Source organism: Homo sapiens, chromosome 18 (genome assembly GCF_000001405.40).
Source record: "Homo sapiens chromosome 18, GRCh38.p14 Primary Assembly".
Lineage (NCBI taxonomy): Eukaryota > Metazoa > Chordata > Mammalia > Primates > Hominidae > Homo > Homo sapiens.
In genome coordinates, this window is record NC_000018.10 from 21,500,844 (window position 1) to 21,527,637 (window position 26,794).

General features: G+C 42.4%; 1 protein-coding gene across 29 annotated transcripts in view; it reads left to right on the forward strand.

The window, feature by feature from the left end:
* Positions 1 to 25,269, forward strand: part of GREB1L (GREB1 like retinoic acid receptor coactivator) — a 283,881-nt gene extending 258,612 nt beyond the window's left edge. For 13 of the 29 annotated variants that reach the window (XM_047437809.1, XM_017025991.2, XM_017025994.2 and 10 more), the window contains 8 exons: positions 4,569 to 4,724; positions 4,967 to 5,106; positions 7,275 to 7,436; positions 7,541 to 7,748; positions 12,978 to 13,143; positions 14,574 to 14,801; positions 15,770 to 15,911; positions 17,191 to 19,088. In XM_047437809.1, the coding sequence (XP_047293765.1) occupies positions 4,569 to 4,724; positions 4,967 to 5,106; positions 7,275 to 7,436; positions 7,541 to 7,748; positions 12,978 to 13,143; positions 14,574 to 14,801; positions 15,770 to 15,911; positions 17,191 to 17,784 (1,796 nt within the window). In that variant the 3' untranslated portion in view covers positions 17,785 to 19,088. Of the gene's footprint in view, positions 1 to 4,568; positions 4,725 to 4,966; positions 5,107 to 7,274; positions 7,437 to 7,540; positions 7,912 to 12,977; positions 13,144 to 14,573; positions 14,802 to 15,769; positions 15,912 to 17,190; positions 19,089 to 19,844; positions 19,981 to 21,814 lie in introns of those variants that run through there. The other 16 variants (NM_001410867.1, XM_047437816.1, NM_001142966.3 and 13 more) reach the window with 7 other exon arrangements.
* Positions 25,270 to 26,794: the final 1,525 nt, after the last annotated feature.

The window sequence follows — 26,794 nt, forward strand, 5'->3', positions numbered from 1 at the left end:
GGATCACCTGAGATGGGGAGTTCAAGACCAGCCTGGGCAATATGGTGAAACCCCATCTCTACTGAAAATATAAAAATTAGCCAAGCATGGTTGTGCACACCTGTAATTCCAGCTACTCAGGAGGCTGAGGCAGGAGAATCACTTGAACCCAGGAGGCGGGTTGCAGTGAGCCAAGATCACATCACTATACTCCATCCTAGGTGATGGAGTGAGACTTTGTCTCAAAAAAAAAAAAAAAAAGAAAGAAAGAAAGAAATGAAAAAAAAGAATGTGCCCGGCAAATAGTTCTGAGTAAACTGTAGCCTTTTTTAGCTCATTGAGGTCAGGGATGGTGTATTCTACTTTTAGCCTCTTTACAATGTCCTGCGAGGTGCTGGGCAAAAAGGCGTTTTGGTTTTTGGGCTGTTTTTTTTTTTTTAATTTAAGTTCTGGGATACATGTGCTGAATGTGCAGGTTTGTTACACAGCTGTATACGTGTGCCATGGTGGTTTGCTGCACCTACCAACCCGTCATCTACGTTTTAAGCCCCGCATGCATTAGGTATTTGTCCTAATACTCTCCCTCCTCTTGCCCCTCACCCATCCTGTGTCCATGTGTTCTCATTGTTCAGCTCCCACCTGTGAGTGAGAACATGCTGTGTTTGGTTTTCTGTTCCTGTGTTAGTTTGCTGAGAATGATGGCTTCCAGTTTCATCCATGTGCCTGCAAAGGACATGAACTCATTCTTTTTTATGGCTGCAAAAAAGTGTTTTATAAAGGCTTTTTAGGTAGATTAATTGCCTAGATGGTTAACTATTGTAAAATTCGAGTTGTAGTATTCAACTGCTTCAGGATCCAGGGCATATTTGTATTCTGGATACTAGTCCTTTGTTGATTGGTCAGAGTATGTCTTATATTTTACCCATAGGCTCTGAGTGAAGGCACGGGATTACTATAATGAGATGAAAACTTCTATGTGTAGAACTGAATGCTGGCACTATGAACAAAACATCGGCACTGAGACACAAGGGCAGGTGCTTGATAGGGCTGTGGAAGCCAGTGGGCATACCAAGACCACTCCAGCTGTCTTCCCCAGCTGGCACCAGGGAGTTGATTCCACTCTGCCGCTAAGAGCAGTGTGGCTCGGCTCGGCACTGGCACGGTGCAGTAGCTCACGCCTGTAATCCCAGCACTTTGGGAGGCCAAGGCGGGCGGATCACCTGAGGTCAGGAGTTCGAGACCAACATGGTGAAACCCTGTCTCTACTAAAAATACAAAAATTAGCCGGGGGTGATGGCGGGTGCCTGTTATCCCAGCTACTTGGGAGGCTGAGGCACAGAATTGTTTGAACCCGGGAGGCGGAGTTTGCAGTGAGTTGAGATCACGCCACTGCACTCCAGCCTGGACGACAGAGCGAGACTCTGTCTCAAAAAAAAAAAAAAAGAAGAAGAAGAATAGTGTGGCTCAAAACTGTGGCTTCACACCTCCCACCAATTTGACTGTGCTGGCAGGGAACTGTGGGGAGGAAGTAGAGGCAACCAGGCGGAAGTTCCTCTCAAGCCTCTCAAAGATGAGTCTGGAATAGGGAAAGCCCTTGGCATCATCTACCAAATTAGCTCTTGGAGATCTCACCTCACTTGTTTTACCTAAATAGCTGAACCTGTTCCATGACCAGCCCAAGAAACTAGTTTAGGGCCGAGCAAGAGTAGGTAAAATCAGCCATATTTAACCACTTTTTTATGGCTTCAGGCCTGTTTCCATTTCTCATCAATTCACATACATGTTTTTAGACACACACACGAATTCATCTTCCCATCTACATCTCCTTGTTTTTTTCCCAGCTAAGCTGCACTAGATCGTCGGGCCCACCAGGTTGGCCTCAAAACACCCCAAGGCCCCCAGAAAGAGCTGAGCCAGAAGGGCAAAGCCAGAGCCAAGCAGACCGGGAGTCGAGGCCTGCCCTTCTGCCAGCTCTCCCGCCAGGCTCGCTGGCACCACAGCAGAGTGATGCCTTTGATTTTTTTCCTCAGATCATGCTACAGTGATCTTGACTCTTACTCTGTGCCGGTGAGCTGTGAGAGTCTGCTACAGCCTGTTTGACCTTTGTAGTAAGAAACACTGTTAGTTTGGCTTTCTCCCTTCTCCCTCATTTTAGTGCAGGTTAATGCAATGGTGCTCTCAAGAGGCACAATGACACCTTTTTAAAAACTAAACTAGGCTTGAAAGTGCAGACTTTAGTTCAGGGATATAAAAATAAATGTATTATATGTGTTAAAAAGATATTAGCTGTACCTCCAATCTTTAGCCTTTTTTGGAAAGTTTCTTTTCTCCCTTTGAAAGTTGTCTTAAGCTACTTTTTCATCTTATACATTTTATTATTATTAATAATAAAAAAATATATATTTTAAGATGGAGTTTCTGTCGTCCAGGCTGGAGTGCAGTGGTATGATCTCGGCTCACTGCAACCTCTGCCTCCTGGGTTCAAGCAGTTCTCCTGCCTCAGCCTCCTGTGTAGCTGGGATTACAGGCTCACGCCATCATGCCCAGCTAATTTTTGTATTTTTAGTAGAGGTGAGGTTTCACCATCTTGGCCAGCCTGGTCTCAAACTCTGACCTCATGTGATCCACCCACCTCGGCCTCCCAAAGTGCTGGGATTACAGGTGTGAGCCACTGCACCTGGCCACTAATAAAAAATATAATGTTAGACACCAGCTGCGTGCCTGCAACTGTCTTGGCACTTTATTATCATTATTATTATTATTATTATTTTTGAGATGGAGTCTTGCTCTGTCACCCAGGCTGGAGTGCAGTGGTGCGATCTTGGCTCACTGCAACCTCTGCTTCCCAGGTTCAGGCGATTCTCCTGCCTCAGCCTCCCAAGTAGCTGGGATTAAAGGCATGCACCACCACACCCAGCTAGTTTTTTGTATTTTTAGTAAAGACAGGGTTTCACCACTTTGGCCAGACTGGTCTCGAACTCCTAGCCTTAGGGGATCCACCCACCTCGGCCTCCTAAAATGCTGGGATTACAGGTGTGAGCCACTGCACCTGGCCAATCATAAAAAATATCTGTTAGACACCAGCTGTGTGCCTGCAACTGTCTAGGCACTTTATTTTATTTATTTATTTATTTTTTGAGATAGACTCTTACTCTGTCACACAGGCTGGAGTGCAGTGGCACGATCTCAACTCACTGCAACCTCCGTCTCAGGGGTTCAAGTGATTCTTAGCCTCCTGAGTAGCTGGACTACAGGCATGTGCCACCACACCCAGCTAATTTTGGTATTTTTGGTAGAGACAGGGTTGGCCAGGCTGGTCTCGAATTCCTGACCTCAAATGATCTGCCTGCCTCGGCCTCCCAAAATGCTGAGATTACAGGTGTGAGCCACCATGTCCAGCGTGTCTTGGCACTTTAAATGTACCATCTCTGGCTGGGCAGGGTGGCTCACACCTGTAATCCCCTGTGCTTTGGGAGGCCAAGGTGGGAAGATGGCTTGAGGCTAGAAGTCTGAGATCAGCCTGAGCAGCAGGGAGACCCCATCTCTCACAAAAATTTTAAAACTCTAGCCAGGTGTGATGGTACACGCCTGCAATCCTAGCTACTCAGGAAGCTGCAGTGGAAGGATTCCTTGAGCCCAGGAGTTCAAGGTTGCAGTGAGCTTACATTGCATCACTGCATTCTAGCCTGAGTGACAGAGTGAGACCCTGTCTCCAAAAACAAAAAGAAAAGGGTCTGGTATGGTGGCTTACACCTGCGGTTCCAGCACTTTGGGAGGCTGAGGCAGGATGATTGCTTGAGCCCAGCAGTTCAAGACCAGCTTAGGCAATACAGTAAGACCCTGCCTCTACAAAAACGTTAGCTGGGCATGGTGGCACGTGCCTGTAGTCCCAGCTACTCAGGAGGCTGAGGTGGGAGGATCATTTGATCCCAGGTGGTTGAGGCTGCATTAATGCTTACTATAATCTGGGGACTCAGGGTTAAGTACAGTGCCTGAAGGTGTGACGCTGTAAGGGGTAGGGCCAGGATTCACACCCAGGTCTACTGGCTCTCAACCGTGACTGCATATTGGAACACTCTGAGGCGCCTTAAACAATATGACTGGATCCTGGGCAGTCAGACATTCTGACTGAACTATTCTGGGATGTGTGGCCTGAGTGTGGGAATTTTTACCAGCTCCCAGCTGATTGTAACGTGCGGAAGACATTGGGAATCTTGCTCAGTGCATCCTAAAATCTCTTGGGTGTCAGTATATTAACACCCCACAGTTAAAATCTCAAGACAGAAATAAGATCATCCAAAATTAAACTTTTAAGGAAATTTGGCCTGGTGGAGACTAGGTTATCTTACAGATGCCAGAGTTTGTGAATTGGGTCTGCAGAGACGAATGCTGGGGGCCAGTGAGGGCAAATGTTCCTCTCAGCATGGGTGTGAACAATTCTGCCTCCTCTACTGGGACAGGGGAGCTCATTTTTCAGAAATGCCTTTGTCCACCCATCTGGGCTCTACGTCCCATAAAAGCCATTCTCTCTGACACATGGGGAAGAGGGAGGCCAGTCACCTGCTCTGCACACTTCCTTCTTGTCCTAGATCACAATGAAAGCAGTGAAGTGAGCCAGTCAGAGGGAGAGCCCTGGCCTGACATCGAGAGCTTCAGTAAAATGCCTTTTGATGTCAGTGTGCATGACCCCAAGTACAGTTTGATGAGCCTGGTGTATACTGAGAAGCTGGCAGGGGTCAAACAAGGTCAGTGCAATCAGCCAAGTTCACCTCCTCTCTGGGTTAAGGGGACACTAGCTCAGGGTGCCTTACATCTCACTTTTCTTTCGCTCTTATGCGCATCATTTTTTAAATTTTCATAACTGTTTCTTAGGGCATAAATTACAGAATACATGGAAAAGTCATTTTGGGGAAAGAGGGACTTTTCTTTCCAGGCATAGGGAAAACATGTTATCTCATGGGATGGCTTTTTGCCCCTTTATACACAGAAGTGATAAAGGAATCCAAAGTTGAAGAGCCCAGGAAACGGGAAACTGTATCCATAATGCTGACCAAATATGCAGCCTATAACACCTTTCACCACTGTGAACAGTGCCGCCAGTACATGGACTTCACCTCTGCCTCCCAGGTACCATCCCACCTTCGCCCTCGCCCTCTGTCACCCAGTATGGATTTTGTATGTAAGGGTGGGGGGTGGAGGGATGAAAAATAAGGCCCCTAGTTTCAGGCCTCTGGTAAAGGATAGTTTACTCATAAGAAGGAGCCACTCATTGGTGAGAAAAATGCATGAAGGCTGGGCGCGGTGGCTCACCCTGTAATCCCAGCACTGTGGGAGGCCGAGGCGGGTGGATCACCTGAGGTCAGAAGTTCGTGATCATCCTGGCCAACATGGTGAAACCCCGTCTCTACCAAAAATACAAAAAATTAGCCGGGTGTGGTGGCACATGCCTGTAATCCCAGCTACTCAGGAGGCTGAGGCAGGAGAAATGCTTGAACCTGGAAGGTAAAGGTTGCAGTGAGCCGAGACCACGCCACTGCACTCCAGCCTGGGTGACAGAGTGGGACTCCGTCTCAAAAAAAAAAAAAGCACAATGCATGAAGCCATAATTAAATGAATGTTGGGTTTATTTGGATTATGGGAGGGAGAGGAGGCAGCTTAGTTTTAGTGTCTTGAATTACTTCTTCAAATGGTTACACGTGTCATGTTTAGGTTAGGAAGTAGCTGAGGTGTTTATTTGCAATCCATATATTACAGTATATTTGATAAAAGGGTTTCCCCCTCTTCCCTTTGGAGCACTGACTAAAATGGCACTATTATCTCAGATCCACAGGGTGTGCCCTTTGAGCTGTGATTCTAACAAGACTGTTGATTTGCACCAACCTAGTCATATTCTCACACCTGCGTGGGGTGGCTTGGCCAGTGGAGTCAGTTTGTTTTATGCAGTGAGAACTGAGACATAGGAATGAAGAACATGGGCCAATAACCCTTAGTATGTGGCTTCTTTTTGGCTAGTGCATCTTTAAGCACAAAAGATGGAAAGGCAACAAATGATAGTAATATCCAGAGCTTACTTCCCCAAATTCATCTTTATTTTTATAACTTGGCTCTGAACACACAGAAACAACTCCTGCTTCTGGTAGGCCATACTGACTCCCCTAAACCTGTTTCTGCTCTTCAGGGCCAGGTCGTCACCCTTTTCCCACATCTCATCCTGAAATACAAATGAGTACTAGAAAGGATATACTTTAAAAAACTGATCGAATCATTCTGCCCTTCTAATACAAGTTACCTTTTATATCCCATTTGTTTTCTTGGTGTCACTGAAAACTTTTGGTGGGCTGCTTTGAAATAAGCTCATAAAAGCTTTATAGAATATAGAAGACCCAAGTCCCCTGGTCTACAGATTATAGGTTTTTAGAAAATCTCTTTATTAGAAATCCTCTATTCATAAAGTTTCTGTGTGACTACAGTACTAAGTAGTATATTCCCACATTTCTGAGGCAGAATAAACTAGAATTAAGGGAAGAAGTGTAATGTTATTTTTCTATGAAATATAGTATTTTGGTTAAAACCATTGGGAAACCTACTTCGATTCTAGTTGCTGATGAAAATTGATGGTATCCTTTTATTAAGCCAAATCTTATCCACATTAAAAGCGTGAAAAGACCTATTATATAATTATTCACTGAGATAGGTTACTGAAAAAACGTGAACTCTGCAGCACTTTAAATGTAGGTTAGATTTATATTTGGCTTCAGTGAGTCAAATGGTCTCTTTTCTGAAACCAGAGTTCTGGGCTAAATGATTGAACCTCTTCAGCATCCACTGTAGCCTGGAAAGATGGGGCTGGAGAGGCATTTTAATGTCAAACCTGATATTTAGAAAGCTGATATTCATTTGATCTGACCCGCATAGAGCAGAAGTGTTTCCCTCCGATTAACAGGGGACCTTTAGGAATGCATACAGAGCAGGACATCCCACAGATATATCTGACCTCTGCACAGGATGAAGCAGCTGTGGCTCTGAGAGCACACAGAATGCAGTGCCAGGCAACAAGTACTTCTTCCACTGAGGCTATGCAGGTGCAAGACGGCGGGCTGTCATGTCAGTGGCAGCTCCTAAATGAAGTGTTTGCCTTATCAACCTTTTAGACGTGGCTGCTCACAGCCTGCTCTGGTGGCACTTACCAGTTCATGTTAGTTTCCATCTCTTAATAACAACCTGAAGGAGTGGCCTGGAAGTTTGGAAACTGTGGGCTTACTTACGTTCCCTCCCTTTCTTCTTTGCAAATGTAGATGTCTGACTCCACCCTTCATGCCTTCACATTCTCTTCTTCTATGCTGGGAGAAGAGGTTCAGCTCTATTTCATCATTCCCAAATCCAAAGAGAGTCATTTTGTCTTCAGCAAGCAGGGCAAGCACCTGGAGAGCATGCGGCTGCCCCTGGTTTCAGACAAGGTGGGTGAGAGCATCTGGACTGGCAGGCACCAGACCTAGTTCTTTAAGCGTCTTCAATCTAGAGGCTTTAATTTCCCTTTATGGTCTGTTTTTTTCCCTTTCAGCAGAATTTGAATGCAGTCAAGAGCCCTATTTTCACTCCTTCCAGTGGTCGACATGAGCACGGACTCCTAAACCTTTTCCACGCCATGGAGGGCATCAGCCACCTTCACCTCCTGGTGGTCAAAGAGTATGAGATGCCTCTGTACCGCAAGTACTGGCCCAACCACATCATGCTGGTGCTTCCCGGCATGTTCAATAATGCAGGCGTGGGTAAGGGGCCCCCCTGGGATGGGGAGAAGGGCTTCGAAGATAAACTGAGCTCCATTCCCCTGGCATGAAACTTTCAGATTCCCCTGCCTCTAGAAATTGTCCTGCCCTCCTCACCACTCTTCGGAAAAAAAAAAAAAAAAAAGCTTTTTGACTCTCCCTTGAATTTGAGTTTTCTTTTTCCCTTTATCTGCACTTTTGCAGAATTAACTCTGAGGACTGGTAATTAAGGAAGAAGTCACTGGTGTACTGAGCACCCTGGGAAGGTTTGGGATTCTTCCCCATGTAGGCTGCAAATGTTCCTGAGCTGAGCACTCTGGGGAAGGAATGTAACCATGAGAAAAAAGATGGTCTAAGGGAGAGGCAGCATTAGTGGTTCACCCAGATCAAGAGGGGCCCCTAGGTCATCTCATCTTTAAGGCACGTAGCAAGTTATAGGGGGCTGTTGTACAACCAGGGAGCTGGAAGCATCGTTACTGCCTATGACACAGGAATGTGCCTGAAAGAAGTCCTGCTTTCCTCCTGGAGTTTAAGAGCAATGCGCTGATTTCTCAAAGGGGGCCAGTCTTGTTGTATGTATGACAGAGCTGTGGAGACTGTAGATGTCAGAATGCCTTCATTTTCCTTTCTCAGGCAGGACATCTCTAACTGAATCCAGTGTTTTAGAGCTGCGCTCTTCTGGACACTTCTTGCGCTGCAGTTCTAAACAGTTTGGCCCATCTGCTTCTGTCGGTGCCTCAGTGCCAAGTCAGGAGCTGCTTGTTCCCATTTTAAAGGGAAGTAATAACACCCAGCCTAGAGCTGGACTGGAGGGCAGATAAGACCTGAGTAGTTTTCTTGAACCCACGTGTTTCTTCTCTCCAGGGTCTCCTCTTTCTCCACTGTCTCCCAACCTAGCCTCTGCCTCTCCCTTCCTTCTTAGGTCTCTCCCATTTCTTGTTCCTTTCTATGCCTTTTCATGTCCTTCAACTTCAAACAGCCTTAATATGGGCTTAAAATATTTTCAAAAATGGTTTTGTTTTGAATATAATTGTTTATCACTTTATATCAAGTGAATTAAGGCTTCTGAATATTTCTGTTCCTTCAGCCTCCCCAAAACCACCTATACTCATACTAACTGAAGCCTTTTTCTATATGAATATGACCTTCTTCTGTGCCTGCCTGATCCTTAGGAGAAAGTTTTCTCATCCTAGATCTGACCAAACTATTTAGTACTAGTTTTGCCATTTTTGCAATAATTTGGGGAGAATGAAGCCAACACACATATGCAAATGAAATATACAAATTATTATTTTTATTTTTGGTAAAAATCACATAACATAAAATTTACTGCCATGGCCGGGTGCGGTAGCTTACGCCTGTAATCCCAGCACTTTGGGAGGCTGAGGTGGGTGGATCATCTGAGGTCAGGAGTTTTGAGACCAGCCTGGCCAACATGGTGAAACCCCATCTCTACTAAAAATACAAAAAAAAAAATTAGCTGGGTGTGGTGGTGTGCGCCTGTAATACCAGCTACTCAGGAGTCTGAGGCAGGAGAATCACTTGAACCCGGGAGCTGGTGGCGGCAGTGAGCCAAGATCATGCCACTGCACACCAGCCTGCGTGACAACAGTGAAACTGTCTCCAAAAAAAAAAAAAAAAAGTACTGCTTTAATACTTCTAAAGTGTTAAAGTTCAGAAGTGTTAAGTACATTCACATTGTTTTAAGACTGATTTCCAGAACTCTTTTCACCTTGTGAAACAGAAACTCTATACCCATTAAACAACTCCCCATTCCCTCCCTCCCCTCAGCGTCTGGCAGCCACCATTCTACTTTCTCTAAGTGCCTCATATCAGTGGAATGATACAGTATTTGTCCTTTAGTGACTGACTGGCTTATCTCACTTAGCATGTCCTCAAGGTTCATCCATGTTGTAGCATGTGTTAGAATTCCTTTCCTTCTTAAAGGCTGAATAATATTCCATTTTATGTATCTACTACATTTTGTTTATCCATTCATCCGTCAGTGGACACTTGGGCTGCTCCCACCTTATGGCTGTTGTGCATCATGCTTTTATGAACACAGGTATACAAATATCTCAGACCCTTATTTCAACTCTTCTGGGTATGTATCTAGAAGCGAGATTGCTAGATCATGTGGCAATTCTATTTTTAACTTTCTGAAGAATCACCATACTGTTTTCCATAGTGGCTTGCACCATTTTACCTTCCCACCAACAGTGCACAGGGATTCTAATTTCTTCACATCCTCACCAACACTTTTTTTTTTTGAGGTGTTTTGCATTGTGATTTTGTTTTGCATTCCCCTAATGATTAGTAATATTGAACATCTTTTTGTGTGCTTGTTAGCCATCTGTATATCTTCTTTGAAGACTTGTCTCCAAAGTCCTTTGTTGAAAAATCAACTGAATTATTTTGTTGTTGTTGAGTTGTAGCAGTTTTTAAAAAATATATTCTGGGTATTAATGCCTTATCAGATACACTCTTGGTAAAGATTTTCTCCCGGCCGGGTACAGTGGCTCACACCTGTAATCCCAGCACTCTGGGAGGCCGAGGCGGGCAGATCACCTGAAATAGGAAGTTCAAGATCAGCCTGACCAACCCCGTCTCTACTAAAAATACAAAATTAGCCTGGCATGGTGGCACTTGCCTGTAATTCCAGCTACTCAAGAGGCTGAGGCAGGAGAATCACTTGAACCGGGGAGGTGGAGGTTGCGGTAAGCTGAGATCGTACCGCTGCACTCCAGCCTGGGCAACAAGAGTGAAACTCCGTCTCAAAAAAAAAAAAATTTTTCTCCCATTCCATGGATTGCCTTTTACTCTATTATTTGATGAAGTCCAGTTTGTCTATTTTTTCTTAGCTTTTGTTTTTGATATCATATGTAAGAGATCACTGCCAAATTCAATGTCACAAGGCCTTCCCCTATGTTTTCTCCTAAATGATTTATAGTTTTAGCTTTTATGTCTAGGTCTTTGATCCATTTTGAGTTAATTTTTGTGTAGGGTCTAAGGTAAGGGTCCAACTTCATTCTTTTGCATGTGACTATCAGGTTTTCCCAGCACCATTTTTCTTTAAGACAGGGTCTTGCTCTGTCACCCAAGCTAGAGTGTGCAGTGGTACGACCATAGCTCACTGTAGCCTCCAAGTTCTGAGCTCAAGCAATCCTCCCACCTCAGCCTCCTGAGTGGCTAGGACTATAGGCGTATGCCACCATGCCTAGCTAATTTTTAAATTTTTTGTAGAGACATGGGTCTGTGTTGCTCAGGCTGCTCTCAAACTGCTGGCCTCAAGTGATCCTCCTACCTCAGTCTCCCAAAAATGCTGAGATTACAGGTGTGAGACATCGTGCCCAGCCCCCAACTGTGTTTGTTGACAAGACCATCTGTTACCCACTGAATGGCTTTGGCACCCTTGTCAAAAATCATTTGACCATATATGAGAGGGTTTATTTCTGGGCTTTCTATAGGCCCAGATCAAAACTACCACACTGTTTTCATTACTATAGCTTTGTAGTAAGTTCTGAAATCAGGAAGTGTGAGATCTCTAACTTTGCCTCTCTTTCAAGATTGTTTTGGCTATTTGGGGTCCCCTGAGATACTGGATGAATCGCAGGATAGATTTTTCTATTTCTGCAAAGTCTTTGGGATTTTGATAGGGACTGCATTAAGGCTATGGATCACTTTGGGTAGCACTGATATCTAATATCAAGTCTTCCAATCCATAAACACAGGATGTCTTTCCATTTATTGGTGTCTTCCTTAATTTCCTTCATCAATGCTTTGTACTTTTCACTGTACAAGTCTTTTGCCTCCTTAGTTGATTCCTAAGTCTTTCTTTTTGATGCTATTGTAAATGGAACTCTTGATTTCCTTTAGATTGTTCACAGTTGAGGTATAGAAATGCAACTGATTTTGGTGTTGATTTTGCATCTGCATCTTTGCTGGATTCACATATTCATTCTAAAGGGGATTTTTGGTGGAATTTTTAGTTTTCTATGTATATGTTGCCTGAGAACAGAGATAATTTTACTTCCTTCCTCTTTGGTTGCCTTTTATTTATTTATTTTTTCCTTAATTTCTCTGGCCGTGACTTCCAGTATTATGTTAAATAGAAATGGTAAAAGTGGCATCCTTGTCTTGTTCATGATCTCAGTTTTGGAAAAGCTTTCAGTCTTTCACCATTGACTATGATGATGTTAGCTGTGGGCTTTTCATATATGGCCTTTATTATGTTGAGAATGCAAACTATTACACACACGTTCTTGGAAGGTAGATTTTCCTAAATCCCAGTTTTACCCTTGATCTGTTCACACTGCTTCTGGTTCTTCCATAGATTTAATAGCTTTTCTTTCATTTATCACCTACGTTTTGTTTCATTTTACGATGGCCCACTCATAAAATTTGGCTGATTACTGACTATCATCTTGATAATCACTAACATTCACCGAGTACTTAGAGGGTACTAGGCGCTATCCTGAGCATCATACAGCAACCCTATGAGATCGGCATTATTATTGTCTTCTTAGAGGTGGGGAAGCCAAGGCACAATGGGTTTAATTTGTTCAGGGTCACATGGCTAGAAAGTGGTGGAATTAGGATTCAAAATCAGACAGTTTGGCTCCTGTCTCTTCTCTTAATCTCTATACCATATTGCCTCTTGCAAAAGGCAGATCTAGGGAAAGGGTGCCAGTTTCCAGAGTTGTCTTCTTCAAAGAAGCTGCCGTCAGTTTCCTTGAAGTATCTAAAGCAGGGGACATATCAGTGGAATTGGCATACCCACTCACTGCAGCCCAGTTAACTCCCTAGTACAGGACATGTGAGTGGCTGCTTCCAAGTCTGAGAGAGCCTCTTGTCATGCTTCAAGGAAGTAAACAGTAACAGCATTTCCTAGATGTGGATTCCTTTGTCCTGTGAGGGAAACTGGATTCTTGCAATACTTTCAAAGTGTGGTTCATACCATTTGCATCCTCAAAGATATCTCTGGTTTCTGGCCCTTACACCATACCGACTCAAATGCAGCTCTAGTAATGGACTCTTAAGAATCTACATTTAAAAGTGATTCCCAGTAACACTGGTTTGAGAGCCACTGCTCTGAACATTTGGTTGGCTCCCACCTGCATGGTTCCCATGTGAACAGGCATTCTGTGGAGAGAATATAGCTGCCTGTGGGGCTTCAGCCAAGCCTGAGTGAAGGATGTGTGGATATGCAGATGTGGTTATGTTGCCTTCCAGGTGCTGCCAGGTTCCTCATCAAGGAGCTATCATATCACAACCTAGAATTGGAGAGAAACCGCCTGGAGGAGCTAGGCATTAAACGCCAGTGTGTCTGGCCTTTCATCGTCATGATGGATGACTCATGTGTCCTATGGAACATTCACAGTGTTCAGGAGCCATCCAGGTAGACTTCCAAGCTGGGGGCGTATGACACAATGCTATAGACAGGACAATACATTTCTTGACTACAGTTACATACGGAAGTAAGAAAGAGAGAGACAGCTTTCCAGAGCAAAACAGTCAACCATGAGACCACCCTCACTAGAACATTTTGTGGTGACTTAGGAATCTTTTATTTAGACATTCAGTAGCCCATTAAATTCCTGGACCATTCTGGGATCACAGCGTTGGTTAGCTATTAAAGTCTACTGCGGCCAGGCACAGTGGCTCATGCCTGTAATTCCAGCACTTTGAGAGGCCAAGGCGGGCTGATCATTTAAGGCCAGGAGTTCTAGACCAGCCTGGCCAACATGGTGAAATCCTGTCTGCTAAAAATACAAAAATTAGCTGAGCGTGGTGGCGCATGCCTGCAGTCCCAGCTACTTGAGAGGCTGAGGCAAGAGAATCACTTGAACCCAAGAGGCAGATGTTGCAGTGAGCTGAGATTGTGCCACTGCACTCCAACCTGGGTGACAGAGCGAGACTCTGTCTCAAAAAAACAAAAATAAAGTCTGTTGAGACACTATGATTTATGGAGAAAGACTGCTGACATCTCAAATCAGGAGACCTGGTTTTAGCCCCAACTCTGTTTTTTGTTTATAATTTTTTGTAGAGATGTTGCCCAGTCTGGTGTTGAACTCCTGGGCTCAAGCAGTCCTCCTGCCTTGGCCTCCCAAAGTGTTGGGATTACCAAGTGTGAGCCACCACACGCAGTCATGCTTCTTAACTGTCTGTATGAAAAAGGAAAGTCATCTCACCTCTCCATATCTCAAGTCCATCACCTGTAAAATTACGCCTGGGCCAAAATCAGTGGTTCTCTTCCTGGGGTAGTGCCCCCTCACATTGCTAGGGGGTGCTGGTCGGGGCATCTGTGAGGACCAGAGAATGCCAAACATTTTAAGAAGTCCGACACAATAAACCCCCAAAATTCAATAGCACTCCCATTGCAACACTGTGCCAGCTGACCTTTAAGCCCCTCCCAGCTCAAACACTGTGATTTTGTGTCCTTGTTCCTATTTTGGATTTGAAGCCAGTGAAATTTTCAAATATTCCTTATTATACACAATTACCAGAACTGGGAAGGATACCTCTATGCTTCCAACCTCCGGCTACCTCTTCTTTGGCAACTCTTTATTCACTGTTCACTCTGACACAGGCCGGATTTCTTTCTTTGCCCGAAAGTGATAAGCCCCACCCCAAAAGGCAGTTTCTTTATAATAGTGACAGGCAGTGTGAAAACTGGGCTTGACATTCTTCTCCATTTGCTAATACGAAGTAAATCAGTTAATTTTATCCTTGAGAGTATTACTGGTATATAGTAGTGTGTAGACACTTCACAAATGATCCTCTCTTCTGTAATATTTATCAACATCTTATATAAACTATATTTCATAGCCAGCCCATGGAAGTAGGAGTTTCCAGTAAGAATGTGTCCTTGAAGACTGTCTTGCAGCACATTGAAGCCACACCAAAAATTGTCCACTATGCAATCTTGGGCATACAGAAATGGAGCAGCAAGCTGACTTCTCAGAGCCTAAAGGCCCCATTCTCTAGGTGTCACGTGCATGATTTCATTCTCCTCAACACAGACTTGACTCAGAATGTGCAGTATGACTTCAACAGGTAAGTCAGGCCTCATGGATGCAGGTAATCCTGGCATCTACTGATTGCTTCTGCCCAGCTCTAGCCTCTGTAATGCTTTTATTCGTATGTCTTCAGTTGAGAAGCTGACTCTTTATGTGGGCAAGGAGAAAGGGGGATCACAAGCCCCAAAGTGTGCCCCTTTATCAGCAAACTGACCTAGACCTTAACAGGGGTTACAATGTGAAATGCTTAGAGAAAACACTTTAGCCATCTCATTATTCAACAAGAACTCAAGACACAAAAACTACTGACTCAAGTCAGTGTGTGGACCCACAAACATCTAAGATTAAGCCTCCTTCACCCTCCAGACTCAGAAGGAAATCACTTTTCCTGAATGTTAGACTAAGCCCTCCTTCACCCTCCAGACTCAGAAGGAAATCAATTTTCCTGAATGTTAGTAGGATTCAGGGAAATCCTACTGTAGGGAAAAGGCAGCAGATGGGGATGAGCAGGGTAGCCATGGCCTTGCCTCCCAAATAAATTATGTCCAGGTTCCTACAAAACCTGAGAGGGCCAAGCAAGAAGGCAGGAACCATAAAGTCCTTATGCCAAACTTACGGTTATAGAATAGCTGCTGCTTTCACTCCTGTTTTAAATTTGACAGAGGCTTCATCCTGCTTGTAGCCAGAAATTTAAAACTGGGAGCACCTCTGCATTCCTGTTTTGCCGGAGTGTATCAAATAGGAATATAGTCCTGTTTTTGCATAGGGATACCTAAAACCTGTGACATAGCTGGGACAAAAATAATCTCACTTTCCCCTTCCTTGAAAGGCTGTAATGCCCAAATCAGAGTTTTTCCAGGTCAGTGTTACGAGGGCCAGCTCCACAAAAGCATGGTTGATTATTTTAGGCTCCTAATATCTTGCCACACATTTATTTCTCTGTGTATAGTTATCATGGTTGAGATATGCCAGCGGAAGAAAACTATTGTTGTGGTTACAATTTAGGTATTTCTGTGAAGATGCTGACTTTAATCTGAGAACAAACAGTAGTGGCCTGCTCATCTGCCGCTTTAATAACTTCAGTCTCATGAAGAAACATGTTCAGGTTGGAGGGCAAAGGGACTTTATCATTAAACCAAAGATCATGGTGAGTACCGCAAGCTTGATTCAAGTGCTGAAAATAAGCACAATGATAATGACTATCTTTGTTATTAGATGTTGGCATTAAGCACTTTCTATTTTATTAGAAAAGTGAAATAACACAAGGGAGTTTTTTTTTTTTTTTTTTGAGACAGTCTGTCCCCTAGGCTGGATGGAGAGCAGTGGCGTGATCACGGCTCACTGCAAGCTCTGCCTCCTGGGTTCAAGCGATTCTTGTACCTCAGCCTCCCAAGTAGCTGGGATTAGAGGTCCGTGCCACCACGCTTGGATAATTTTTATATTTTTAGTAGAGATGGGGTTTCACCATGTTGGCCAGGCTGGTCTTGAACTCCTGACCTCAAGTGATCCACCCGCCTTGGCCTCCCAAAGTGCTGGGATTACAGGCATGAGCCACCGCATCCGGCCATTAGGGAGTTCTTAATGTCAAATTTTCAATCTCATTTCTGTTACTGAGACTCATCTAGAGCCAAAACATTTGTTTTGACAATCCAACAAAATTACTTTAGATGTCAGCCTTAAATCTAAGTTTCTTTGGATTTAAGCCTTAACACATCCTTCAAGGCTTTAGTTTCAAGATGGCAAACTTTACATTTTTACCTTCTTTTTTTGAGACAGAGTCTCGCTCTGTTGCCCAGGCTGGACTGCAGTGGCATGATCCCAGCTCGCTGCAACCTCTGCCTCCCGGGTTCAAGCGATTCTCCTGCCTCAGCCACCACGCACCACCACATTTTTACATTCTTTATGTAATACATGAGAGAAATATAAATCAAGATGCCAGTCTGATCCTTTGCTAGAAGTTTCTTAAAAGATAGTAATAAAGATCAAAACCTGTATTACTACCCTTTTCTAAGAAATCTACTGAATGTAGTAATTCACAGCATGGGGGCTACCAGTGGAGCTTAGAAACCTCTTTGCCATTTTTTTGGTGGGGTTGTGGGGTAGAGTTAGGATGAGATAGGATTTAACCCACACACACTGTAAAAGGCTTCCGATTGGATCTCACAGTGTACCTGTTAAATGTGGTAACTTTCAGAGAAGCCTGCTTTCTTCTGCCCTCGCTGTGTGTAACTTACATTAAATCCTATTTTACTATTCCCAAGAGAAAAAAATTTTCAGGACCCTTTACTAACATACATTTGAACCTAGCACCCCTCACTGTGCTACTGCTATTATTTGGCGACTGTTAGGATACACTTCAGTGTTTCCTCACCTGTTTAATCCAGTGACAGACAAGTTTCCCATGATCATCTCGCCTCTGATTTCAGGTGTCAGAGAGCTTAGCACCCATCTTGCCCCTTCAATACATCTGTGCTCCCGACAGTGAACACACACTACTGGCAGCCCCTGCACAGTTTCTCCTGGAGAAATTCCTTCAGCACGCCTCATATAAACTCTTCCCCAAAGCCATCCATAACTTCAGGAGTCCTGTGCTGGCCATTGACTGCTACCTTAACATTGGACCAGAGGTAAAAAGGGTGTGGGGGATACTGTGCTTACCTACATCCATCCATTTCTTTCTCATTTTAGCTGTTTACAAAAAAGGAGCCTGTGACATGAAATATCAATCAAGATGCCAGTCTGGTCCTTTGCCAGAACTTTTATTAAAGATAGTAATACAGATCAAAACTTGTATTTCTACCCTTTTGCATACTCACTTATGCAAAGGTTCACACAACATGCAATGGCAGTTTGCCCTCCCCATGCCTATTTTATCTCCACAAATGAGCCAGAGAATATACAACTCAGCTGTCAGCTCCTCTAAGAAGCCTACCTCGGTGACTTTGGGCAGCAGTTGCTTGTTCCCACTTCTCTTAACATTCATCAGATTATACTGTAATTATGTGGGTTTTTCTTCATAAAAGTGTGAGTTCTTCAAAGACATACAATGTCTTAGGCATTGTTTTAGACATACGTAAGAGGAGCTCAGTGATTACCGAACAAATAAATGTGTATCACCTGAAGCCTTTAGAGGTGGCATTTCTCCACTTCCCACCCCTTGGACTTCTTTCTAAAATTTTTCACATTTTAGTTTTTTTTAAACTGCCACTTGCACCTCCAGGCTCCTACTACTAAGCTGTCCCTTTAGAAATGATTACTGTACTACATCCTCCTTGTAAAAAATGTTTTAAAATCATAAGAAAGTAAAGTCACCTGCCAGAAGAATATTTTGGTGTACTACATTTCCTTCCAGGGCTTTTTCTTTGTATGTATTGAAAAAAACACACATATCCATACACGTACTCTTTTAACGCTAAAGTCACTGTATTCAGTTTTGGAAACTAATTTTTAAAATTTCACAGTGTAAACATTTTACATTCCCATTTTTATGTTTCAGTAATCTACACTGTAGATTGGGTAATGAATTATAGAATTTTAGAAGTAGAAGGAACCTTAAAAACCATCAGATATAAAGGCCAGGCATAGAAGCTCGTGCCTATAACCCAGCATTTTGGGAGGCTGAGGTGGGAGGATCACTTGAGGCCAGGAGTTCGAGACCAGCCTGGACAACATGGTAACACCCTGTCACTACAAAAAATAAAAATAATTAGCCAGGTGTGATGGCGCACGCCTGTAGTCCCAGCTATTCAAAAGGCTGAGGTGGGAAGATCACGTGACCCCAGGAGTTCAAGGTTGCAGTGATCTGATTTGTGCCACTGCATTACAGCCTAAGTGACAGAGACCCCATCTCAAAAAAAACAAAACAAACCCACACCCACGAGATCTAATAACATCTTTTACAGTATTTATGTAAGTACTGTAAAAGATGTATGTAATTTACATGTCTGACCCAGATATTCCAATTCCCCTATCCTAGAGTCCAGGGCTCTACGTATTAACACAATCTCAATACTTAACAACAGCTAACATTTACTGAATACTAAGTTATTTAATTCAGAAAACATCCTATGAAACAAGTACTATTGTTATCTCTACAGATGAGGAAACTGAGGTATAGTGAAATGAAGGAGACTGTTCATTGTTCCATGGCTACTAAATGGAGGAACCAGTATTTGAACCCAAGCAGACTGGCTCATGCATTTAGCCATTCCACTGTTTTAACTCCCAACTATCTTACTTACTTCTCCGTAATTTTTGCAGTTATCATCTGTTCACAGAAGCCAGATAGAACCAAAAATTTAAATTCATGCACTGTCTTTTTTTTTTTTTTGAGATGGAGTTTCACTCTTGTCACCCTGGCTGGAGTGCAATGGTGCAATCTCGGCTCAGTGCAACCTCGGCTCAGTGCAACCTCCACCTCCAGGGTTCAAGCGATTCTCCTGCCTCCGTCTCCTGAGTAGCTGGGATTACAGGTGCACACCATCACGCCTGGCTAATTTTTTTTGTATTTTTTACTAGAGATGGAATTTTGCCACGTTGGCCAGACTGCTCTCCAACTCCTGACCTCAGATGATCCATCCACCTCGGCCTCTCAAAGGGCTGGGATTACAGGCGTGAGCCACCGCACCCAGCCCATGCACTGTCTTAAGCTTCTATCCAATTGAAAATTTAAGTATATCTAAATGGAAAGCTGATCAAAAATATTTTTTATTCTCACCAATAAGGCAATCCAAACATTTAATCTTTCCTAAGTATGCTTTTTTGTGGAAGGTAGTTTTTTAAATTTGATAAAGACTCTTAAATGGAAGGGCTTGTTTCTTACTACTAATTTGTCTCCTAATAGTCCTTTATTATGAAACATAAATAAGAGAAGCTTTAAACAGGTTAACACTTGGCACGCTACATAAAGGAGGCTGCAAAGCTTAACTAACCAAGCCATTTAAGTTAATATTGGAAAAAACTCATCTCCTTTACCTTATCCTGAAATAGAGAAAAAGGAAGGTACTGAGTCATTCTGCTGAACTGCAGATATTTTGCTTGCTCTTGAAATGCCCATGCTATTTTTGCTTGATGATTTCAGGTGGCCATATGCTATATCAGCTCCAGACCCCACTCCAGCAATGTCAACTGTGAAGGGGTGTTTTTCAGTGGACTCCTTTTGTACCTCTGTGACTCTTTTGTAGGTGCTGATCTTAAGAAATTTAAATTTCTAAAAGGTAAGTCAAATTTAGTATCTTGCTTGTAATTGCTATTGGTTCCCACTGAGCAAAATACAGAAGATAAAGATATTTTTAAAAAGCACTTGAGGCCAGGCGCAGTGGCTCAACGCCTGTAATCTCAGCACTTTGGGAGGCCGAGGCGGGTGGATCACGAGGTCAGGAGATCGAGACCATCCTGGCTAGCATGGTGAAACCGTCTCTACTAAAAAATACAACAAAAATTAGCCAGGCATGGTGGTGTGCACCTGTAGTCCCAGCTACTGGGGAGGCTGAGGCAGGAGAATGGCGTGAACCTGGGAGGCGGAGCTTGTAGTGAGCTGAGATCACGCCACTGCACTCCAGCCTGGGCAACAGAGCAAGACTCCGTCTCAAAAAAAAAGTAAATAAATAAATACAAAATCAGCCGGGCGTGGTGGCTCCTGTAATCCCAGCTACTCGGGAGGCTGAGGCGGGAGAATCGCTTAAACCCGGAAGGCAGAGGTTGCAGTGAGCCAAGATCACGCCATTGCACTCCAGCCTGGGCAACAACAGTGAAACTCCATCTCAAAAAAAAAAAAAAGAGAGACTGGCCTAAGAACAAACTAAGATTAAACATCACAGATAATCCTTATAAAATGACCTTTGAGATCAGTGAAGAAAGTGAGGTTCAGAACGCTGTGCAGCATGAGAACAGGGAGAGGGGTTGTGCGGGGACTGTGCATTCATTCATTCACTTATTTATTTATTTATTTATTTAGAGACTTATTGGGGATGGGGGAGTGGTAGATTTTGCCTCCCAGGAGACAGAGACACTTCTGATTGTCGCACTGGAGGCTGCTGCTTGCTGGCATATAGTGGGCAGAAGCCAAGACTGCAGGATGTTTAGATTCCAAACATCCTACAAGACACAGAACAAGGCTAGGTGTGATGGCTCACGCCTGTAATCCCAGCACTTTGGGAGGCCAAGGTGGGTGGATTGGCTGAGCTCAGGAGTTTGAGACCAGCCTGGGCAACACTGTGAAACTCCGTCTCTACTAAAATACAAAAAATTAGCTGGGAGTGGTGGCGTGCACCTGTAGTCCCAGCCACCTGGGAGGCTGAGACAGGAGAATTGCTTGAACCCAGGAGGCGGAGGTTGCAGTGAGCCAAGATTGCACTACTGCACTCCAGCCTGGGCAACAGAGGAAGACTCCGTCTCCAAAAAAAAAAAAGGTAAGACACAGAATAGCCCCCACAACAAAGAATTATCCAAGTCCAATAGTGCTGAGGTTCAGAAACCCTAATCTAGGAGGAACACATGAGAAACATAACATTAGTTATCACAGGGAAGAGGGAATGTGGTTGGAAGATTACTTACTTTATACTCTTAAAAATTACTGAATTTGGGCTGGGCGCAGTGGCTCACACCTGTAATCCCAGCACCTTGGAAGGCCGAGGCAGGTGGATCACGAGGTCAGGAGATCGAGACCATCCTGGCCAACATGATGAAACCCCATCTCTACTAAAATACAAAAAAAAATTAGCTGGGCCTGGTGGCAGACACCTGTAGTCTCAGCTACTTGGGAGGCTAACGCAGGGGAATTGCTTGAACCCAGGAGGCAGAGGTTGCAGTGAACCGAGATCGCACCACTGCACTCCAGCCTGGAGACAGAGCAAGACTCCGTCTCAAAAAAAGAAACAAAAAAAATTACTGAATTTGCAAAACTACTTAATAAAATAAAACAATTCTGATAGATTGCTTATCCATCTGTTGGTTCTCAGATGTGTTAGCTTAGGAAATATAATCAGAGATAAAGTTCTTTATAAATTCAATCCCTGAGCCTAGGACATATTTCTGTCTTTTTTCCTGAAGGTGCTACACTGTGTGTCATCTGCCAAGACAGAAGTTCCTTGCGCCAAACAATTGTCCGCTTAGAGCTAGAAGATGAGTGGCAGTTCCGCCTCCGGGACGAGTTTCAAACTGCTAACAGCAGTGATGACAAGCCTCTCTACTTTCTTACTGGACGTCATGTATGAGCTTTTGAAGAGACCAAAACAGCAAAAAGATGCCTAGGTGGGATGGGACAGAAACAATTTGGGATTTTTCTTTTTCCTTTAAAGTACAATCACTGTGGAGCAAAGTGCAACATATTTGTCTAAATTCTCCAAAGAACTCCCCAAATCTGATCCAGGTCTTTGGGGACATCACTTTCCTTCAGTTCCAATTACAGGACCCTTAAATTCAGGTAAACTCTATCCTAGGCAGTTATGCAATTACTTAAGATACGGTCTGCCCATGGGATCCTGAGGAGGATATACTTTGGAGAGTGAATATGGAGTTTGCATTATTTTTTTCTATTACTATGTTAGGGGGAAACTGACTGTCAGGATTAACTAGCCTGAATGTGTTACATGAGACTCATGCCATTGGTGTGGAATCAATTGAAGATTAACGTTTGAGGCCTGAACCCTCAGTTTCTCTTCAGATCTGTACTTTGGTACAGTATTACTCAGGGGTTTGAAATGATAGAATGTAGACGATATTTGTATTTAAAAAAAGAAGTAGCTTTGTCTTTCTCTGTGCAGTGTTAGTTTAAGATTTATAATCTTCTATGTATTGAAACTTTTGGCAAAATTTCCACAGGAGTTAGAAGTTTACTATTTAAACTGAACAAACAAATCAGTAAATGCAGAGCAGGCATTGTGTGCATTTATGCATCTTCTCCTAGCCTAATTCCTTTGCTTTACCCACTCTTTAAATGTGTTTCCAGTCTTTAAGAATATCTTATCTATGAGACTATGGAACAGTGATTAATCTTTTGCAAGAACTTAAGTCAGTTAAGAAGCTTTCAGCAGGTAACCTGCACCCACCGTTTGGTTGGAATTAAGCAGTTGGCACCAGCAAACCTAAATGTCAGGCTGAGGTTCTGTTGCAGAGTGAAACTAGTTTGTTTCCTTTCAGGGACTCAAGCAAAGCTTCCTTTAAAAGATGCACTAAATATTACCACCTTACACTGACAACGCCACAGAAATTGCCGAATTGGGAAATTGAGCCATAGAAAGAGAAATGTTTTTTTACTTAATCTTACCAGTGACTCTTGTGAGGAGTAAGGAAGACTCCATTAAGAGTCTTTTTGATTCATTAAAATCAGCAGGGGGTGTTTGTCCAGTATCGGCAATGGGAGGCATATGTTTCTACAGATTTCTCAAATATTTTAATCAAAAACATTATTTTTAGAAAGTGTTCTAGATAAAACTAAGTCTTAGAAGTTTACTCTTAAATTACTCCAGTTCTCATCATTGAACAATCTCTTGAGAGTTTTCTCATTAGCCCATATTTACTACTTTATCCCCACTTAAAATGGCCATTTTTACTTGAATCAATCTTGTTTGTGACCTGAAACTACTGAGGGGCCTACTAAGCCTGCATTTACTTAGAACAAATAGTGTTAATTGACCAGCTTTATTATCTTATGACAACAAGGAGTTTACAAAGCTAGTGAAAAAATGGAATGTATTAGACTAAAAATGGTTTGCAGATCTCTTGGTTTTAATATAGCTACTTATAATGCTTTAACTGTATTTTGAAGTGAACAATTCCTTTTAACCCCATTTTTAATTGTCCTTCAAAGAGGACCTGCCTTATATATGCTTTAAAAAATACTCCTTAATTTTAGTACAGCAGAATTTTTGGTAAAGAGGTATGTTTTGAAGCAATTTGGTTTAAATATGAATGTATTTCACTTGTTCCTGTTTTGTTGAAAGGGCCTAATGCAAATAATACCAAGAAACCCACTGTCTGTGCAATATTCCAATAACATTTACATAGGGCAAATAAAATACTTGAAAGAATTCTGAAACAATTGTACCTGGGGTGGATGGCCTCTCAGGGTTTCTTCTGGCTTTATGACTTCATAGTTTAAAGAACTTTTTTTTTAAGTAGTTACATCAGATGCAGGTACTCCATTAGTTAGGGCTGCACTCTGAAAATTCAAATTATTATTATGAGCTCTTAAATACTATTTAACTCTGGAAGAGATATGCCAGAATAAAGCCAAAAGACCATCACCCCTATAATGGAGAAATTGATCTGCCTATTCTTTTCAAAGCCTATCTTACTAATGTTTGGATCTTTTAAAATCATCTTATCATCAGTATAATTCTTGAGTATGTTAGGTCCTTCTTTAAGGATAAAATTGCACAAGCACAGGACACCATGATTTGTGTGTATATATATATATATCCTAGTGTGTTCAGCTTTAAGCTTTGCAATCCCTTAGGACACTGATGTGGGATGAATGGATTCGCTAGGCCCACACAGTAACTCACCTGTAGACCTGCTGAACCTCAGCATGTATGACAGTTCACACAGGTTAATACTGAATGTAAACGAAAAACTAGAAGACAATTGTTATAATTTTTTTTGGCTGTAATTTATGCAATTGCTTTTTGTGATTTTTAGAAAATGGGGCACCCGTGTTATTACTGTAAAATGTTCTTAACCAAAATTTGGTGAATTTCACTAGTCTACCTCACATTTTGTTAATGATTCAAAATTGTCTTGTGTCTACTGTTATATTTTTGTCCTTTGATTTAATTTGCTTAATGTATTAAAGTTATCTCCCACCCCCTCCAAAAAGTTATTTTTTCTTTATAGTTTTCTGGCATGTTTGTTAAGAAAACAAGCTCCCTGACTCTGGCAATGTCCTAAAAAGGCTGGAAGTCAGTCACATTATAGGTTGGACAACCAAGATTAAAGAGGTGTTGAAAACATACATAGTAGATACCAATCTTTTATTTGACAGATTGCAACTACACTCACTTTGATGTCCTTCTGGAAACAGAACAACTTTGGGTTGCTAAAACTAATACAAGGTGTTTGTTATTGTTAATCTCCAGTTAAAACTTCTCAAACTTTTTGAGAGTGTCTCAAAGTTGCTAGAACTATGTAGTATGAAGATGCTGTTATTGTAGTATGAATTATATCTTCTTAAAAAATTTTACCAACTTTTGAGAATAACAACTTTGTTGTCCCAGAAAAATGGCTTTCAATCTATTAATAAAGTGTAGTAAATTAAAAGAATTTGACATAGATTCCATGAAAACAATCTTCTAGGCCAAAGGACCCTCAGGAAGGGCAATAAATATTTGTAAGTGTAATGACAGACTTTCAGAGGAAAGTAAAGACTACTGGTGTTCCACTATACATTCCAAAGCAGCTGCCTTGAAAAGACTATTAATTAACTGTGAAACTGACTGCTGCAACATCACACTAAACTACTTAGGCCTGAAACAACATCCAGAGAACGAACATTTATCAAGCTTCTCTTTAGACACAGAAACTGGAAATTGGCCCTTAAAGCTTCCTCTGAGTCTAGGAGAATACTACTCTAACACTGAAACCTTGGCTTCACTGAAAACAAAACAACAACAGTAAAAATACTGCTAAAGATGACTTTAGGAATTGCCGCTAAGGCCAAAGAAAAAGTCATTCACATAATAAATTCACTGTGCTCTCAACTATCAAGTGTTGTTGAGTTAAAGCATCTACTTCAGTGACTATGACAATAGATGATGGTATTAAGTTAAAAAAAAAAAAAAAAGGCAACACCAGTAAGTTCTTTTCTGACCACTTCATTCCACATATTTTATTTTTACTAGTCCAGTGTATTTTATTTTTACCAGAAGGGTGGGGGTGGGGGGTTGCTAAAAGACAGAACTCATCCCTTTTTCTGCCTAAAGACTCAGGAGCCATGAGAAAGAAAATGTATGTCTAGAGTCACTACCCTAGAAATCAACTCACTCAGCAATCTCAACCCTAGCTGCAATGTGGATGGGCAGGAATACAGCTGTGTTCCCATCCAGAAGGATAAGACTCTATAGCTGGGCAGCCGTGCAAAGTAAACAAGAACAATTAAAATAACACTGCAGGTTTGTTGTACTCACTGACTGTCCTTACAACAGTCAGGCTTTCAGTAGATAAACCAAGTTCACTCTTGCATATTATGAAGTAGTAAAATACTGCTTTTTATCTGTGTGTCCATGCAGATAAAAGCATCGCCCATAAAATCTTGTAGTTCCTGACTATATTTGTGGCTCTTACCATGTCTCTATGCTAGATATTTTTATAAACAACCAACAACTACATGAGGGCTGCTAACAAAAAATCTATAAGCACCTTTATATAGTCAGCAATTACAGACTCACCCTCTTCTACAGTCTGTGGCCATTAGTGTACACTCACCGTGTCCCTGCTGCCTCCACCACTCCACTGAGACTGCTCTTTTCCTAACATCACTTGGGCTCTCTTCAGTCTTCAACTGTGGTATGACAGGGTTGATCATTCTTTGATTCTTGACATTTTTCCCTTGGTTTCTACCACTCTCTTCTGGCTCTCCTACCTTGCTGCTCATGCCTTCTTAGGCAGTCTTCTTTGAGACTCTTAAATGATGGTGTACCTCACAACTCTCTTCTACCTTCTCATTTTACAAACCCCAGGGTGACCTTGTGAACCTTCAAATAAATAAGTGAACTCATAAATTTGTTTCTCAGTTAGAACCTTTCTGAAACTCTAGATTCACATATCCAATTGTATACTAAAAGGTTTCTCCACTTAAGAGACTCTTTCTACAACCACCTTAAAATCTTGACCAAAACTGAGGACATCCCCATCCAATCCTCCCAACCTAATTCCCCTGTATTCCCATCTGTCAATCTAATTCAATTACCCAAACCAAAATTCCCACTTACCTTAACCTCTTTGCCATGATCTTTTTCTGGTTGTTTATAAATTCCTATCAATTCAACTGTGTCAATTCTTCAATTTTATCTTTTCAATGTGTATCTGTCTCGT